The 17,180-nt window shown below is 46.5% G+C and overlaps 1 protein-coding gene across 1 annotated transcript in view, besides 1 other annotated feature; it reads left to right on the top strand.

Moving 5' to 3' along the window:
• The window catches only part of ADARB2 (adenosine deaminase RNA specific B2 (inactive)), a 560,213-nt gene that overhangs the window by 273,115 nt on the left and 269,918 nt on the right, over positions 1-17,180 (top strand). The window lies entirely within an intron of this gene.
• Positions 3,602-4,801: an enhancer, noted in NCBI's record as "BRD4-independent group 4 enhancer chr10:1501805-1503004 (GRCh37/hg19 assembly coordinates)". NCBI's record gives its function as "activates an origin of replication core promoter dependent on BRD2, P300/CBP, MED14 and CDK7 cofactors, and independent of BRD4, by STARR-seq in HCT116 cells {active_cell/tissue: HCT116}" and the evidence as "EXISTENCE:reporter gene assay evidence [ECO:0000049][PMID:35650434]".

Below are 17,180 nucleotides of genomic sequence, written 5' to 3'. Positions count from 1 at the left end.
GTGGGGGAGTGTGTGTCCACCCTCTTCTCCAGCACGCTGCCCGCTGTGACTGGCCCCCGCGCGTGTGTGGGGGAGTGTGTGTCCACCCTCTTCTCCGGCGCGCTGCCTGCTGTGACTGTCCCCAGCGCGTGTGTGGGGGAGTGTGTGTCCACCCTCTTCTCCGGCGCACTGCCCGCTGTGACTGTCCCCAGCGCGTGTGTGGGGGAGTGTGTGTCCACCCTCTTCTCCGGCGCACTGCCCGCTGTGACTGCCCCCCGCGCGTGTGTGGGGGAGTGTGTGTCCACCCTCTTCTCCGGCACACTGCCCGCTGTGACTGCCCCCAGCGCATGTGTGTGGCGGTCCTGGCCCCTCCACATCCTTGTCAGCATTCACTGTCATCAGCTTCTCTGTGGTTGTTTTATTGCAGCCACTCTCGCAGGTGTGTCCAGGCGTCTTATGGGGGTTTGCGTTTGCGCTTTCCTAATGACTGATGGTGCTGGCTGTCCTTTGTGTTCTTCTGTCTCTCATATGTCTTCTTCGGCAAAGTGTCTGCTCAAATCCCTTTACCATTTTTTGTTGGGTTATTTATCCTCTTAATTTTGAATTTTGAGAGTGCTTTCCCTATTCTGGATACTGGTCCAGCATTGGCTGTGTGATTTGCAAATATTTTCTCCCTGTCTGTGGCTTCTCTTTTCATTCTTAGTGCATTTCAAAGAGCACAAGTTCTTAGTAAGGCCCAAACTATTTAAGTTGAATCTTAAGCTACGCTTGTGCCAGAAATCCTTTCAGTAGCACAAGTTGAGACAGAATCATGTCTGGGTCTATTATGAAAAATAAAATAGAGCTTTTGTTTGTTGTACACACTAGAAAAAATGAAGGTATTTTATTTATGAGACGTAAATAGACTCTCATTCTGAGATGAATACGCGCGCTTCTTAAGCCCGGGTTAACCACTTTAGCGGAAAAGCTGACGGCATCAAACCTGCTGCCTCTTCTACCCGTGTCTGCATCTGCATCATGGACCAGGACACGCTCCTCTTTGCCAACGACACACGGAGGTTTCTGAGCAGGGACCAGGGACACAGGAGGGCGGGAGGCAGCTTCATCAGCGAGGGCCACACGCAGGGATTCTGTGTGACAAGTGCTGGAATAGCGGCCTCCACCAAATGCTGTGAACGCCCCAGAGAGGAAACACTGCTGAACACCACAGGCATCTGCCCCCACACACCACCCAGGCACCGTGGGCTGACTTCCTGTGCCCCCGCTGCAGCCCCCAATCCCACTCATCACGTGGAGAGCACGTCCTTCTCAATGGCCCACAAACCCACCATGACCCTGGTTACTATGCTCCGCTCACTTAGGCATCCCTAAATGGACACACATCCCACCTGCCCCACCAGCTGCGTCCCACCCCACCCAACCCCAGAAACGTACTTTCCCTACTGCATCCGGAGTGGAGGACGTGTTTTGAGGCTGTTTCTTGTTTTAAATAACATTTCTATTTATCAGTTATCTCCTTCACAATGGTATATAAATGCCTATGCCTACACTCATGCACATACATTCACATACACATGCATACACACATGTACATACACACATGCACACTACACACAGACACACACATGTACATACACATGCACACACGTGCACACATAAACACATGCACACACATGCATACATACACACAGGCACATACACACATGCACATACAGTCATGCACATACACACAGGCACACACACATGCACACATACACACAGGCACATACACTCATGTACATACACACAGGCACATACACTCATGTACATACACACAGGCACATACACACATGCACATACACTCATGTACATACACACAGGCACATACACACAGGCACATACACTCATGTACATACACACAGGCACATACAGGCACACTACACTCATGCACACGCCCTAACTGGGCAACTCTCAAGCCCCCAGCCTCATCCCATTCTGAAAGTCACCATCATTGCCTGGCTGTCTTTGGTTAGGACGCAGCCCTGGCGGCAGGTAGAGGCTTGTGTGGAGTACCTTTTGTCACAGGCTGTAATAATTTGCTTTTTGCCACTATTTTGCCTCTCCCCTTGAAGCTCTCTTTCACTAAAGGGCTTGCTGGGGACACTTGGCCAAGAGAACACACACACAGGTGACATAAGGGCTTCAACAGTGGAGCTGGCAGAGCCCTGAGCTGTGGCCGAGGCAGGCTCTGGCTGAGGGTTGCTGCTGGGTGCTCAGGGGGCCTGGGGGTGGTGGGAAGTGGGCAGGGCTGAGCGGGGAATGGCTATATCCTGCCAAGAGGGGCAGAGAAGCTGAACACACACCGTGAGCATTTTGCTTGGGAAAATAGAACCTGATGGCAAAGTAATTATTAAAACAACTTTTAATAATTAACAACTAAAATATTTTTTTGAGATGGAGTCTCACTCTGTTGCCCAGGCTGGAGTGCAGTGGTGTGATCTCAGCTCATTGCAACCTCCGCCTCCCCAGTTCAAGCGATTCTCCTGCCTCAGCCTCCCCGGTAGCTGAAATCACAGGTGCATGCCACCACGCCTGGCTAATTTTTTCATATTTTTAGTAGAGAGGGTGTTTCACCATGTTGGCCAGGATGGTCTTAAACTCCTGGTCTCAGGTGATGTGCCCGCCTCGGCCTCCCAAAGTGCTGGGATTTCAGGCATGAACCACTGCACCTGGCCTAAAAACAACTTTAAAATCATCTGTGATGCTTCAAGAAAAAAAGGAAAAAAAAAAGATTAAGAAACTCACCTGGCAGCTTAATTGGGACAATCATGTAAGGTCTACCAGAGGCCAGGTAATGCACAAGAGATCAATATCATTAAAGAATCCCTCTGGAAAATGTGCTTTTTCTGACCAGGGCAAATTTCTTTAAAAAAAAAAATATATATGCACAGGGAAAGAATTAGATAAATTGCCCTTGAAATTTCTCCATTCTCATTTGGTGAGAAATAAGTCATCCAAGTCAATGATAAAAGGATTACGAGTCAGATTCTCATTTCCTCACCCGGGAAGGGCTATAATTACAGTGACCATATTTTCTGAACCAAACATCAGGACTGCAGGCCTGACAAGTACACGTGTTCTGATGAAGACAATAGGACAAGTTCTCCTAAATGGGAGATGACCTGCAAGAGCCAGAGCCATAATGAGTGACTCTGACACAGAAATAATTCGGTCTGGGGCGTTTGTCATGATGTCATTGATATGGCACTTCTTCTGGAGGTTCGAAGTGTCACGTTGTTGCTGAAATGATTTCTTCTGTTGCTGTCCCTGGCGTGCAGCAGATACTGATTTTAAGGAAGTTGATTGCGTTGACTACTTTTCTCATCTGAGTAGACAATCAAAAACAACAGAATATATAATGTCCAAATTAACATTTAAATTTAGCCACAAAACCTGTCACGGTATTGCACATAAAATTGTTTTTTTTAACTTTTAAGTTCAGGGGTCCATGTGCAGGTTTGTTACGCAGGTAAACTCAGGTCACAGGCAGGTTCGTAACGCAGGTAAACTCAGGTCACAGGCAGGTTCGTTACACAGGTAAACTCAGGTCACAGGCAGGTTTGCTACACAGGTAAACTCAGGTCACAGACAGGTTTGCTACACAGGTAAACTCAGGTCACAGGCAGGTTTGTTACGCAGGTAAACTCAGGTCACAGGCAGGTTTGCTACACAGGTAAATTCAGGTCACAGGCAGGTTTGTTACACAGGTAAACTCAGGTCACAGGCAGGTTCGTTACACAGGTAAACTCAGGTCACAGGCAGGTTTGCTACGCAGGTAAACTCAGGTCACAGGCAGGTTCGTAACGCAGGTAAACTCAGGTCACAGGCAGGTTCGTTACGCAGGTAAACTCAGGTCACAGGCAGGTTCGTTACGCAGGTAAACTCAGGTCACAGGCAGGTTCGTAACGCAGGTAAACTCAGGTCACAGGCAGGTTCGTTACGCAGGTAAACTCAGGTCACAGGCAGGTTTGTTACGCAGGTAAATTCAGGTCACAGGCAGGTTTGTTACACAGGTAAACTCAGGTCACAGGCAGGTTCGTTACACAGGTAAACTCAGGTCACAGGCAGGTTTGTTATGCAGGTAAACTCAGGTCACAGGCAGGTTCGTTACACAGGTAAACTCAGGTCACAGGCAGGTTTGTTACGCAGGTAAACTCAGGTCACAGGCAGGTTCGTTACGCAGGTAAATTCAGGTCACAGGCAGGTTTGTTACACAGGTAAACTCAGGTCACAGGCAGGTTCGTTACACAGGTAAACTCAGGTCACAGGCAGGTTCGTAACGCAGGTAAACTCAGGTCACAGGCAGGTTCGTTACGCAGGTAAACTCAGGTCACAGGCAGGTTTGCTACACAGGTAAACTCAGGTCACAGGCAGGTTTGTTACGCAGGTAAACTCAGGTCACAGGCAGGTTTGCTACACAGGTAAACTCAGGTCACAGGCAGGTTCGTAACGCAGGTAAACTCAGGTCACAGGCAGGTTTGCTGCACAGATTATGTCAGCCAGGTGTTAAGCCTCATGCACATTCGTTATTTTTCCTGATCCTCTCCCTCCTCCCGCCTCCACCCTCCAACAACCCCAGTGTGTGTTGTTCCCCTCTCTGAGTCCATGTGGCTTCATCATTCTTTTTTTTTGAGACAGAGTTTCAATCTTGTCACCCAGGCTGGAGTGTAATGGCCCAATCCGGCTCAGTGCAAACTCAGCCTCCTGGATTCAAGTCATTCTCCTGCCTCACCCTCCCGAGTACCTGGGATTACAGGCATGTGCCACACGCCCAGCTAATTTTGTATTTTTAGTAGAGACGGGGTTTGGCCATGTTGGCCGGGCTGGTCTCAAACTCCTGACCTCAGGTGATCCACCCCCCCTTGGCCTCCCAAAATGCTGAGATTACAGGCACAAGCCACTGCGCCTGGCCCTTGTGTCCTCACCATTTAGCTCTCACTTGTGAGAACATGAGGTGTTTGGTTTTCTGACCCCATGTTAATTTGCTAAGGAGAATGGCTCCAGCTCCATCCATGTCCCAGCAAAGGACATGATCTCAGTTTTGTTTAGGGCTGCATAGTACGCCATGGTGTATATGTACCACATGTTCCGTATCCAGTCTGTCGTTGATGGACATTTATGTTGATTCCATGTCTTGCTATTGTGAGTAGTGCTGCAGTGAACATACACGTGCGTACGTCTTTATGATAGATGATTTATACTCCTTTGGGTATATAATTAATAATGAGATTGCTGGGTCAAATGGTTCTTTGAGGAATTACCACACTGCTTTCCACAATGGTTGAGCTAATTTGCACTCCCACCCACAGTGTTTAAATGTTCCTTTTTCTCCACAACCTCACCAGCATCTGTTATTTTTTGACTTTTTAATAATAGCCATTCTGACTTGTGTGAGATGGTACCTCATTACAGTTTTTATTTGCATTTCTCTAATGATCAGTGATGTTGAGCTTTTTTTCATATGATTGTTGCCTGCATAAGTGTCTTCTTTTGAAAAGTACCTTTTTAAATATGTTTGTTCTTTGAGTGTTTGTTCCGTCGAGTGTTTGTTCCGTCACACTTGTAGCAAATCTAGTGTTAAACTTAGAAATGTACACATGAGGAAAAAACTACGTTCGCTGCTGGATGGGTCTTCATTTTACAGAAGCCTTCCCCATGAGGTTCATGTAGGTGGCTACCGCCCTCGTTATTTAAGAACTAATTGATTTTTAGCTCCTGGAGTGAGGGGCAGGCAGAAAAATGTAAAAGCAAAGAGGCCAGACCAGAGGGCACCGTGGAAGCCATAGCGGTGGACCCCCAAGTGGAGAAGGAAGAAGGGGTCTGCGGGGCCTCCCTCTGCATAGGTGAGCCTCTCCCAGGATAGGGCTAAGAGGGGCATTGTCAGTTCTTGAGCAGGGCTTCTTGACTTTCTTTTTTTCATTGTTTTTAGTGATCAATAAAACTTATAATATATATTAAAATGCAAAGAAGCTTAATTTCATAGAAAAGCCTCAATTGTTTCATCAGAGAAAGAGAAGCTGTGAGACCCCAAGTTTTCACTCTCAAGTGGGACCTTTCCTTCTTCTCCTGGCAGCTCATTAGGGCCAGGAGATTGACAGCAACTGCAAGCTTCAGAAGATCCTATTTTGCAGATGGGAAGTATTCGCAAGAAATTTAAATGTGGGTGCACGCTGTTCTTCCTGCGGAGACCTCCAGAGGTTCAGACAGATGGACACGTGCCTAGAGAGGGTTCACCACAGTGACACCTCCATTGAGAGAGGTTTGTTTGGCCTGAGTGTGACGATGCGTCTGGGAAAAGAACCAAAAGTCACATGAGTGTCCATCACCTGCGACTTTTCTAAAGAGCGTTTGGGGAACTTCGATATTTAAAGGGGAAAGAGCAGGAGAGAAAGGAGGGAGGGTAAGCAATGAGGCAAATGGTTACGTTCTTGGAGGCTTTGATGTGAATCTACATTTTACGTGCAAAGAGAAGGGGTGCAGGAAAAGGCCAATGATGCATTCGCCTCGGGTTGGGTGGAGGGATGATTTTTGTTCCAGTCTTTGCCCTCTACCTATGAAGACGAGCTGGTCATTGACATTGTCAGGGTGAGATTCCACAGAACTCAGTCTTAGGGCTAGAAACAGGGGGATATCTATCCTGAAAGGCTGAGGGATTTAGGAGTTCACCAGGAATTTCGTTGTGAGCAGTTTGTGAGGGAGGCCATCAGGGAGCTATGTGGCCTTCTGTCACTGTGGGAACCTGGCTTAGAGATGAGGCTGTGGAATTGTAGCTCTGTGTCCAGGAACAAAAGGAAAGCAGTATTGCGTGGCTCAGCTCTGAAGCGTAACTTTCTTTTTGGCAGAGTGAGTGTGGGGTCCCAAGATTCCATTTTATTTCCCGAGTCATAGCAGAGACTCCTAAGCTGCAGCAATACGCTTTTATGTGTGTGGGTTAATGGGGTGCACCTTCCACCCACAGCTGGGAGAAGCCTGGCCCCAGGAGCATCAGAAGACAAAGACCCTGAGATGAGAAGGCACCTTAAAGTGAGGATGGCTTGTCCCAGCGAACTCGGAACCCTCCTGGAATCAGGGTTAGAGGTGGACACTGGTGTGTCTCAATGGTCGTGTCCAGCGCCCTGGCCAGCCCTCATGCTCACCACTCCTCTGCAGCAAGCTGAGCCTTATGTCTAAATTTATTTCTTATTCCAGTTGTCCAGAAAATTATTCTCTGAAGATTTCCTTTGTAGTTTTGAGTGGTTTTATTTTGTTCAGGCAAAATGTATCATTTAGGATGAAAACCTGTCCCAGGAGATTGTGCCATGTCATCTCTTTCCAAGAAAAGAAATTGATCTTTCTGCCAGCACAGTGGTTCACACCTGTAATCCCAGCACTTTGGGAGGCCGAGGCGGGCAGAGATGGTGAAACCCCCGTCTCTACTAAAAATACAAAAAATTAGCCAGGCGTGGTGGCGCTTGCCTGTAATCTCAGCTACTCGGGAGGTTGAGGCAGGAGAATCGCTTGAACCTGGGATGGGGAGGCTGCAGTGAGCCAAGATCGTGCCATTGCGCTCCAGCCCCAGCAACAGTGCGAGACTCTGTCTCAAAAGAAAAACACAAATTGATCTTTCTCGGGCAGTCAGAAGATCCTATTTTCTTACAGAAGTCTCAACTATTTATTTTACCCAAAGTAAAAGAGAAATATGTTTAAGGGGAAAGGGCAAGAAAGGGCCACTAGTGACCCTTTTTACCACGCCCCGCGCGTCTCGAGCACACCTTGATGATTAATTCCATCAACCTTCAAGTCCCCAAAATGGTCCCTTGCAGGATCGTTGCTGAGGCAGAGCTGGGTTCACGAGACCCCCTGGAGAGAGGTGGGGGTTGCAGCCTGGCAAGAGCTAAGAGCAGAAAATTAGTGTGGGGTGTTCATAGGTTTTGGGCCGGGGACGGGAGGCATGAGAGCCAAGAACTGGCTTGTATGGAGCAAAGTTAATGAGGAAACTTTAGGTTGGTAGGAAGAGCAGACGTCTTCCGGGCAGGAGCCTCCAGGAGCCGTTGCTGGTGTTGAGAAGGAAGTGACTTGGTTGGTTGGTTCCTAGGCTTAGCTCTCACGGGCAGGTACTTCCTGGAGAAATCAGGGAAGATCCTTTTGCTGGTCCCAGTATTGTTTAACACAGGGACAAGGAATTACAGTGGTTTCCGTTCTTACTAGTAGATAACGTCTAAAAAGTTTTCTAAGCTTTTTCCCTCGCCGGGTCCCTAGGTGAAACTAGATAAAGAGAGTAAGTTTCATTGATCTTAAATCTTTAATTATGCATGAAATGATGTATTGAGTTTAGCTTAGTTAATGTGCCTGGAAAAGCATACAAATAATTATAGCCATATGATCTATTCTGAATGTGCTATTATAAGTGAAACTTTTCAACCACTCTTCTATGCATGAGTTCGCCAAGTTCTGAACTAGTACAATCCTTTAAGTGACATACATTAAAGAAAAACGAATCCCTTTTGTTTAATATTATTTGTTATTTTGCTTGCGTTCATGGAAGACGTATTTGTGTGGTGATAGGTGAGAAATAGACAGAAGGGGGGAATAGTTTCTAGATATAAAAATCGCTTGCTTTTGGTCAGTTCTTCCCTATAAAAAATAAGTTTGCAGTTCAATGAATCAGAAATGAATCTGTATCCATGAAGAAATTTGGAAATTGACAATCGTAAATGGCTCAGTTCCCTCAAATATAGTAGTAGTAAGAATATTAATTTTTAAAAAAGTAACAATCCCAAAAAGAGTTTTTCTAATGCTATGAAAAAACTGGATCGAACACATTAAACTTTTTTAGAGAAAGAAACAGCAATACCTCCAACTTAGCTCTGGCCAGAGCTTAACTTTCCATAAAGACACATCAAATTGTTTTCTTTTTAATCTTTTTAATCTTCTGTTTTCTCTTTTTTTTTATTTTTGTTCATTTAGATCTAGCTGCTTCATCCATGATACATAAGTAATTCAATATCATCATAGTCTGAATAGCCTGGCTCCCTAACTTAGGAAGTCTGTATTTCCTAATTATTTTGCTCATCATAATTGTTTTAAATTAACATTTTAAATTCAGAGAGTGACTATTTTTAAAGACATTTCAAATGATTACATTTCTTCCAGGTGGCGCTTGATTTGCACCTGGCAAAAGAACAGGGAAGCATCTGGTCCTTAACAAAGTTCCTCCTCTCACCTGCAATCCATCCTCACTAAAGCCAGCTGCCAACTATTCATAAGTGTAAGCAGGATGTGGCTTTGCCTGTAAATAAACTGTACCTGGGAAAATCACGTTGTTCAGTGACAAGGTATCCACTCTTTCCACTGAGGGGGAAAAGCCCTAAAGGAGTTTGATTCCAGTCTCGTGTTTCGTAAGCAAATTTCTACAACGTGACTAAACTTATTTAGAATTTCCTCTGTCGCTTGTTGGTATTAAACAGCAACCTGGCACCATCTCAATTCATGAAGAATATTTGAAGACAAGACTGAGTTGCTTGTAAAGCTCAGCAAGGGTCTTCTTTTTTCTGTTCTTTTTTTAAATTATGGTAAAATATACATAACACAAAATGTACCCTCTGATCCACTTTTGAGTGTATAGGTCGGTGGCACTAAGTACATTCACACAGTCGTGAGCAATCACCACCATCCGTCTACAGAAAGTTTCATCTTCCAGAACTGAAACTGTCTCCACGAAACATTAAGCCCGTTACCCTCCCCGGCCCCAGCAACCACCCTCTGCTTCCTGTCTCTGTGGGTGTGAGGACTCTAGGGACCTCATGCAGGTGACATTGTTCATTGTTTGTCCTTTTGTGACTGGCTTAGTTTCCATTGTAGATGGTCCCTAGGGTTCATCCATGTTGTAACATGTGTCAGAATGTTCTTCCTTTTTCAGCTGAATAGTAGATATTCCACATTTTCTTTGCACATTCATCTGTCAATGGATAGATGCTTCCAAATTTTGCCCATCATAAATTGTGCTGCCATTAATATGGATGTATAAATTCTCTTCAAGTCCCTGCTTTCAATTTCGTTGGGTCTATGATATGGTTTGGCTCTGTGTTCCCACCCAAATCTCATCTTGAATTGTAGCTCCCACAATTCCCAGTGTCATAGGAGCAACCCAGTGGGAGGTAACTGAATCATGGGGGTGGGTCTTTCCCATGCTGTTCTCATGACAGTGAAAATATCTCACGAGATCTGATGGTTTAATAAAGGGCAGTTCCCCTGCACACGCTCTCCTACCTGCCGCCATGTAAGATGTGACTTTGCTCCTCATTCCCCTTCTGCCATGACTGTGAGGCCTCCCAAGCCATGTGGAACTGTGAGTCCATTAAACCTCTTTCCTTTATAAATTACCCAGTCTCAAGTATGTCTTTATTAGCAGCATGAGAGCAGACCAATACACTATATAACTAGAAGAATTGCTTGACTATATGGCAATTTTATTTTTAATTTTCTGAAAATAGCCACACCATTTTCTAGAGCAGCTGCACCATCTTACATTCCCACCATCAGTGCACAGCGTTCCATTTTTTCCCACATTCTCACTAACCCTTGCAGTAGCCATTCCAGTGGGTATGAGGCGGTAACTCGCAGTTTTGGTTTGCATTTCCCTAATGATTAGTGACGTTGAGCTTCTTTCCGTGTGCGTACTGGCTGTTTGTTTACCTTCTTTGGAGAAACGTCTGTTCAAGTCTTGTGCCTATTTTTTAATTAGATTCTTTGTTTTGTGTGTGTGTTCAGTAGTAGGAATTTTTAATATTGTCTAGAAACCAATTCGTATCAGATCTATGATTTGCAAGTATTTTCTCCCATTCTGTGGGTTGCCTTTTCGAAAAGGGTACCGAGACCATTCAGTGGAGAGAGGACAGTGTTCTCAAGAAACAGTGCTAAGAAACCTGGATATTCACATCCAAAGGAATGACGTTAAACCCTTACATTACACCATATACAAAAATCAATTCAACATGGATCAAAGATCTAAATGTAAGAGCTAAAACCTTCTTAGAAGAAAACATAGGGGAAGCGTCATGACATTGGATTTGGCAAATGAATTTCTCGGATGTGACACCAAAAGCTCAAGAAACAAAAGGCAGAAAGAAATTGAACGTCATCACATTAAAAATGTCTTGAGCATCAAAGGGCACAATCAGCAAAGGGAAAAGCCCATGATTTACTTGGTTTTTCCATGGGGAGACAGGGAAGAGCTGCCTTGTCTAACGTCTTGCTGATACAACTCCTTCAAGGCCACGTTTTGCAGACGTGGGGGAGGGAAGAGAGGATGTGGAATTAAATTCTAGGTAAGGGACTAGGCGTCACAGACCCAGGGTCCTCAAAGTGTGGCCCCAATGACAGCAGCAGTGGCACCTGGGACGTGCTGGAAATGCAGATTGTCAGGCCCGGCCCAACCCCACTGAGGCCCAGGCTCTGCGCGGCCCACCAGGATGCATTGTGACAAAGCCTGGTGACTGTCACACACTGATGTGGAGAGCCACTGCTGTTGCCTGTATTTCTTTTTTAAATGAATTTATTAGCTGCATAAGCTCACTAAAAATACAAAAGGTTTTTTTTCATGTCTTCTTTTTTTATTATACTTTAAGTTCTGGGGTACATGTGCAGAACATGCAGATTTGTTACACAGTATACACGTGCCATGGTGGTTTGCTGCACCCATCAACCTGTCACCTACATTAGGTAGTTCTCCTAGTGCTGTCCCTCCCCTATCCCCCAACCCCCCAACAGGCCCCAGTGTGTGATATTCCCCCCCCCAACCCCCGTGTCCATGAGTTCTCATTGTTCAGCTCCCACTTACGAGTGAGAACATGCAGTGTTTGGTTTTCTGTTCTTGTGTTAGTTTGCTGAAAATGATGGTTTCCAGCTTCATCCATGTCTCTGCAAAGGACATGAACTCAACCTTTTTTATGGCTGCATAGTATTCCATGGCATCACCTGTATTTCTAAGAAAGTTTTTGAGCTGAGTAAAAGAACTAGAAAGTCATGGAGAGAGAGAAAACCAAGAAGTTTTTTTATTATTGTTATTATTATTATTACTATTTTTCCCACAATTATTCAAACCCAAGACACAGAGCTGATTTTTGTGGGCCATGGACTTAGATTTACATGTGCGACAGTTGACCAGTGCTTTCACATTTGCCGTCTCCCTGTGTATGCTGTCATCATGCCACTGAATTCCCGCAGCTGGAAAGCTGCTGTCTCGGATCAAACTACACCCAGAGGTGTGATGGTGGCAGCGGCCAAATCTGAAGGTGGTGTGTCAGCCTCCTGGCCAGGCATCTGCTCTGACCAGCAGGGGTGCATGGCAGCAGGCCTCCCCTCAGCTCCCACACTGCCTCCAACTCCACATCCGTGATTCCTAGGTACCGTTCATAAGGCTGTCCTTTAACAAGCCACTGAGATGTCCTGTGACCTCTCTAAAAAAAAATATCCACTCATTCCCTTCTCTAAGTCTATAAACAAAATGCTGGAACTTCCCATCTGTCTCACATGTGGGCGAGAAGACAGACCAGATGTCTCTCATGATCTCATGTCCATGGGGCCCTGGCACATGGTGGGGGCTCCCTTCCTCTGCAAGTATGTTCGGTGTACTTCCTCCTCATATGGGTGTACTTCCTCCTCATACGGGTATACTTCCTCCTCATATGGGTGTGTCCCTCCTCATATGGGTGTAATTCCTCCTCATACAGGTGTGTCCCCTGTTATACAGGTGTGTCCCCTTCTCATACAGGTGTGTCCCCTTCTCAGGAAGGTGTGTCCCCTCCTTATACAGGTGAGCCCCTCCTCATACAGGTGTGTCCCCTCCTCATACAGGTGTGTCCCCTCTTCAAACAGGTGTGTCCCCTCCTCATACAGGTGTGTCCCCTTCTCTGCAGCTGTGTTCCCTCTTCCTGCACAGGTGGCTGTCATCCTGCTGTCCACCTAAGGATCAGTCCAAGTTGCCTCAGACTCTGAGCCTCACTTGGCCCTATGAGTCCTCAGGTGTCAGGGCAGCACCGCCAGGTGCAAAGTTGGTGGCTGAGTGAGGTGCACACTCCACTGTTTGCTCCCTCCAGAGGATAAACACCGCTCCTGTGTCCCTGTTGAATACTCTGCCGTCTTTCCCATACTGGGAGGGCACTTTCACCTGTATCGCTGGTTCACCATTTCATAGTGTGTCCTAGGTGATTCCTAGTTGTCTCCTGAGAAAAAGTGTTTTTTGATGAACTATTTCCTGCAAACACTTGTCACACAAAGATGGGCAGACCAGGCTTCTTCTTTGCTGTAGGACTTCCCAGAGTCCCCAGGCTATGAGGACATGGTTATTTTCCAGGTTTTGTTGGCACACACATCTCTCTGTGTTTCTGGCTTGCACACAGCAGACACCATCAGCTCCCTCTGCTTTTCTCAAGGCTGCTGTGCCTATTCGCAGGAGCTCCCTGACAGCACATCTGACTGTGTGCTGTGCCCAGCTATGGTGAGGGCCAGTGGGGTCACCCAAAAGTCACCACTTTCCCACCCCTCAGCAGCAGCCTTCAGCTCGTGGAGGGTCAGGTGGCAGATAACACCCCAAATCTTGGGTTTTCAGGCTGGAACAACACCAAGGCATGCTCCTGCAGCCCCCAAAGCCCCAGGGGCCCCATGCAAGCAGGGGCTTCTGTCTCCCCTCACCTCCCTTCCTCGCCACTCACCCATGTTCCCTGCCATGACCTTCAGAATAAATCCACCTGCACTCAGATCCTCGTCAAATAGCTTTAGGCAGCCTGTTCTTGTTCAGTCCTCTTTGTGATCAGTTTCCCCTGGGGAAGAACCAGACATCCTCAACAAAAGGAGCCAGCAAACGGTAGATGTGAACACAATAAGTGACAGATCCAAGGGGGCGAGGGAGGCATTTGCAGGTGCAGGAGGCACCATCCGGGCATCCGACATCAGAGTCCGGTGCTGAATCATCACCGAAGCCACGAGAGTGGGAGGCAGGGGCAGCTCTGCATGCCTCCTACAGCAACCAAAATGCAGCCACAGCGGCTAAAGAAAAAGCACCCTTCCAGCAGCAGGAAACGAAGTGGACAGACACACCCATAATGATTTTCCAAAGATTATTAGTGTCTTTTATGTAACAGACTATAATTGCATAAAATAAGATGAGTTGTCCTCATTTTCAGAGGGCAGGAAAAGAAGCAGGCTTGTAACTGAGGACCAGGGCTATGCAGGAGGAATTCCTCCCTCCCTCTCGACGGGAGCGTGGGGAGCTCCCTCTCGACGGGAGCCTCCACCTGTGCTCTCAGTGTGGAGACTCTCGGGAAGCTCTTCCCAGGAGGGCAGGGTGGCCACCTTCAAGCGTCATACTGGCGGCAGCCTCCTTCCATTCAAGCGTCATGCTGGCCACGGCCTCCTTGCAGCCAGCCCCTCCGTCAGGGTCAGCGAGACAAAATTAGCATGCACAGGCACTGTGCAGGCCTCTCCTCCATGCCCTTGGCTAATTGAACTCACCCAGATGTTTTCTTTTCTACTCAGTGAAATGATGACATTATTGGAGGTTAATAGTTAAGGGTTTATCTAAATTAGGTATCCGTAAAGTCCTTAATTTAGCCATTGAGTGCCTAATAGAGATTAAATTGGACCTGGAGATACGGCCTATATTTCAATCTGGAGGGAAGCACTTTGCACAAAGCCCTGAGGATGAGCCTCACTGTGTCCCCGCCTTTAAAGGAATACATTGAATTTCTTCCCATGAGGTCCTGACTCTCAGGGATTTGCATGAGATTTCAGACATGTTCTCTTCGGCTTCTCCTCTGGGAATTCTCTCTGGATGAGCATCTAATTTCTGCTCCAGGAGACTTTATGAAGCTATCTGATGTGCTAGTGCAGAGGGTCCTGAAAGGAATTAGGGGAGAGGAAGCAGAAGTCACAGGAGACACCTGGGATAAAAGGGGAGAAAACACACAGGACCAATGGATATGGGACTTCTGAAGAACTTTTACCATGGGGATGCATTGCACACACTCAGCACAGTGGAGGGGGCAGCTGAATGATATAGGCTGATACAGGATGGGTCACGGGGAAGTGAAGGGGCACGGGGTCCAGCTGGGAGATCTCACCAGATCCTAATACAAAACTAAGGGATACTGGCCAAAGGGCAGCCCTGACCGAGGCAGAGTCTTGGGCAAATGTGGGAAAGTGACAGTTGTTGATAATAGCATGTGGGGCTGACTGTTCCTGGCAATAAAGAAAAGGAGTGGGGGTCACTCGGGTGAGGGGGACCTGGTCTCATCCAGACTCATGGAAAGACCGAGGATGGAGGCAGGACCACCAGTGACCGCAACCATTCATTCTTGAATCCCGGTGTGCAGGACACAATTACCCAGAACCCTTTTCTCCCCGAACTCGCTTCTCCAGAGTGTATGGGCAGGATCAGGCTGCATGTGTGTCCTGTGGTGCAGTGTGCACAGGGTGGTCATGCTTACAAGATGAGCTGGGGACCCCTGAGATGTCAGTCATGGGGTCGGCAGGCTGAGGCTCTGGCTGTTGGTGGGAAGGCGGTGGCTTCTGGGGGGGTATGGCTCCTTTGATTTAAAGTTAGTATTACAGTCCAGCAGTGCTAGGTCGACAAAGGAAAGCTGTTGATTTAGACCAAGCACGGTTTCCTTTCCAAGGCCATATAAGGCACAGAGTTCCTGCTTAGCTGCTGGACTGAGGGAAACTTACATGTCTGGCCCAACCAGTCTTTCTAGGTTCAATCTGCAGGAAATAAAGATGTTAACATAAGAAGCTATGTGAGATGGGCTTGTCCATGCACCCTATTACCATGCAAATGATCTGTGAAAACTTTCATAAGAAAGCACCTGAGAGAAGCATGGCAATCTCACAGGCTGGGAAGAAGAGCTTCCTGCCAAGACCAGAAATGGGCACTTCCAAGGAGGAGGGATTTGGGCAGCAGCTCTATGCTGAATAGGTTGGCTAAACATACATAGTCAACAGGTGACAGAAGGAGCTGTGGATATTCATGAAGGGAGTCCTGACACATGCATATACATAAAACCCATGTTCACTTTGGAGTAGACACTTAACATTTAAATATCAAAGGGAGCCATACCCTGTGTCTCATTCACATTTGTTTCATGGAGGTAGAGAGAGCCTGTCAGCCCAAAACCTAATCTTCCCCTCGCCTCTTCATAGATACTGTCTTATATGTTTTCCAACACCACTAACATGTTTGTTTCAAACATCTGTATTACACAAATCAAACACCACCAAGGATATAATTATCTTTCCCCCTCGATAACTAAAGAACATCAATTTAGCCTATAGGTTTGTAATACTGTTTTTCTATACCATAAAGACACATGCACACATATGTTCATTGCAGCACTATTCACAATAGCAAATACATGGAATCAACCTGAATGCCCATCAGTGGTAGACTGGATACAGAAAATGTGCTACACAGATACCATGCAATACTATGCAGCTATAAAAAAGAACAAGATCATGTCTTTTGCAGCAACGTGGGTGAAGCTGGAGGCCATGATCTTAAGCAAACTAACACAGCAACAGAAAACCAAATACCACAAGCTCTCACTTGTAAGCAGGAGCTAAATGATGAAAACACAGGGACATGAAAAAGGAAACAATAGACACCAGGGCCTGCTTGAGGTTGGAGGTGAAAGGAGGATGGAGATCAAAAAACTACCAATCAGGTACTATGCTTATTACCTGGTGCCATTACAATCCGTACAGCAAACCCCCGTGACACAAGTTTACCTGTATAACAAACCTGCACATGTACCCCTGAAGCTGCAATCACATTTTAAAAAGCAACCAAACAAAACAAACACAAAAAAAAAATTACATATGATCTGTCTTCACTCAAAAATGCAGAAGCTGTATGGCTGGACTTCTGTACTCTCTTCCCATTGTGTTCTGCCTGGTGGAATGACAGTGACATCCTTTACAGCCATCTCCTTTCTCCCCACACCTGAGAGCCAGGTTGGTTGTTACCTGCCATGAGCCACAGGGGAAAATAACTTGATCCTTACAATATCTTTTGGAAAGAGATATAAAAATCCCATTTTACAGATGAGAAAACTGAAACCTAAAGAGGTTAAATAATTTTTCCAGGATAATCTCAGATACCTGTGGAGCCAGAAGCTGTGTCCTGCTCT

This window comes from Homo sapiens, chromosome 10 (assembly GCF_000001405.40).
Source record: "Homo sapiens chromosome 10, GRCh38.p14 Primary Assembly".
Taxonomy (NCBI): Eukaryota; Metazoa; Chordata; class Mammalia; order Primates; family Hominidae; genus Homo; species Homo sapiens.
This window is presented reverse-complemented; position numbering and strand designations above follow the sequence as displayed.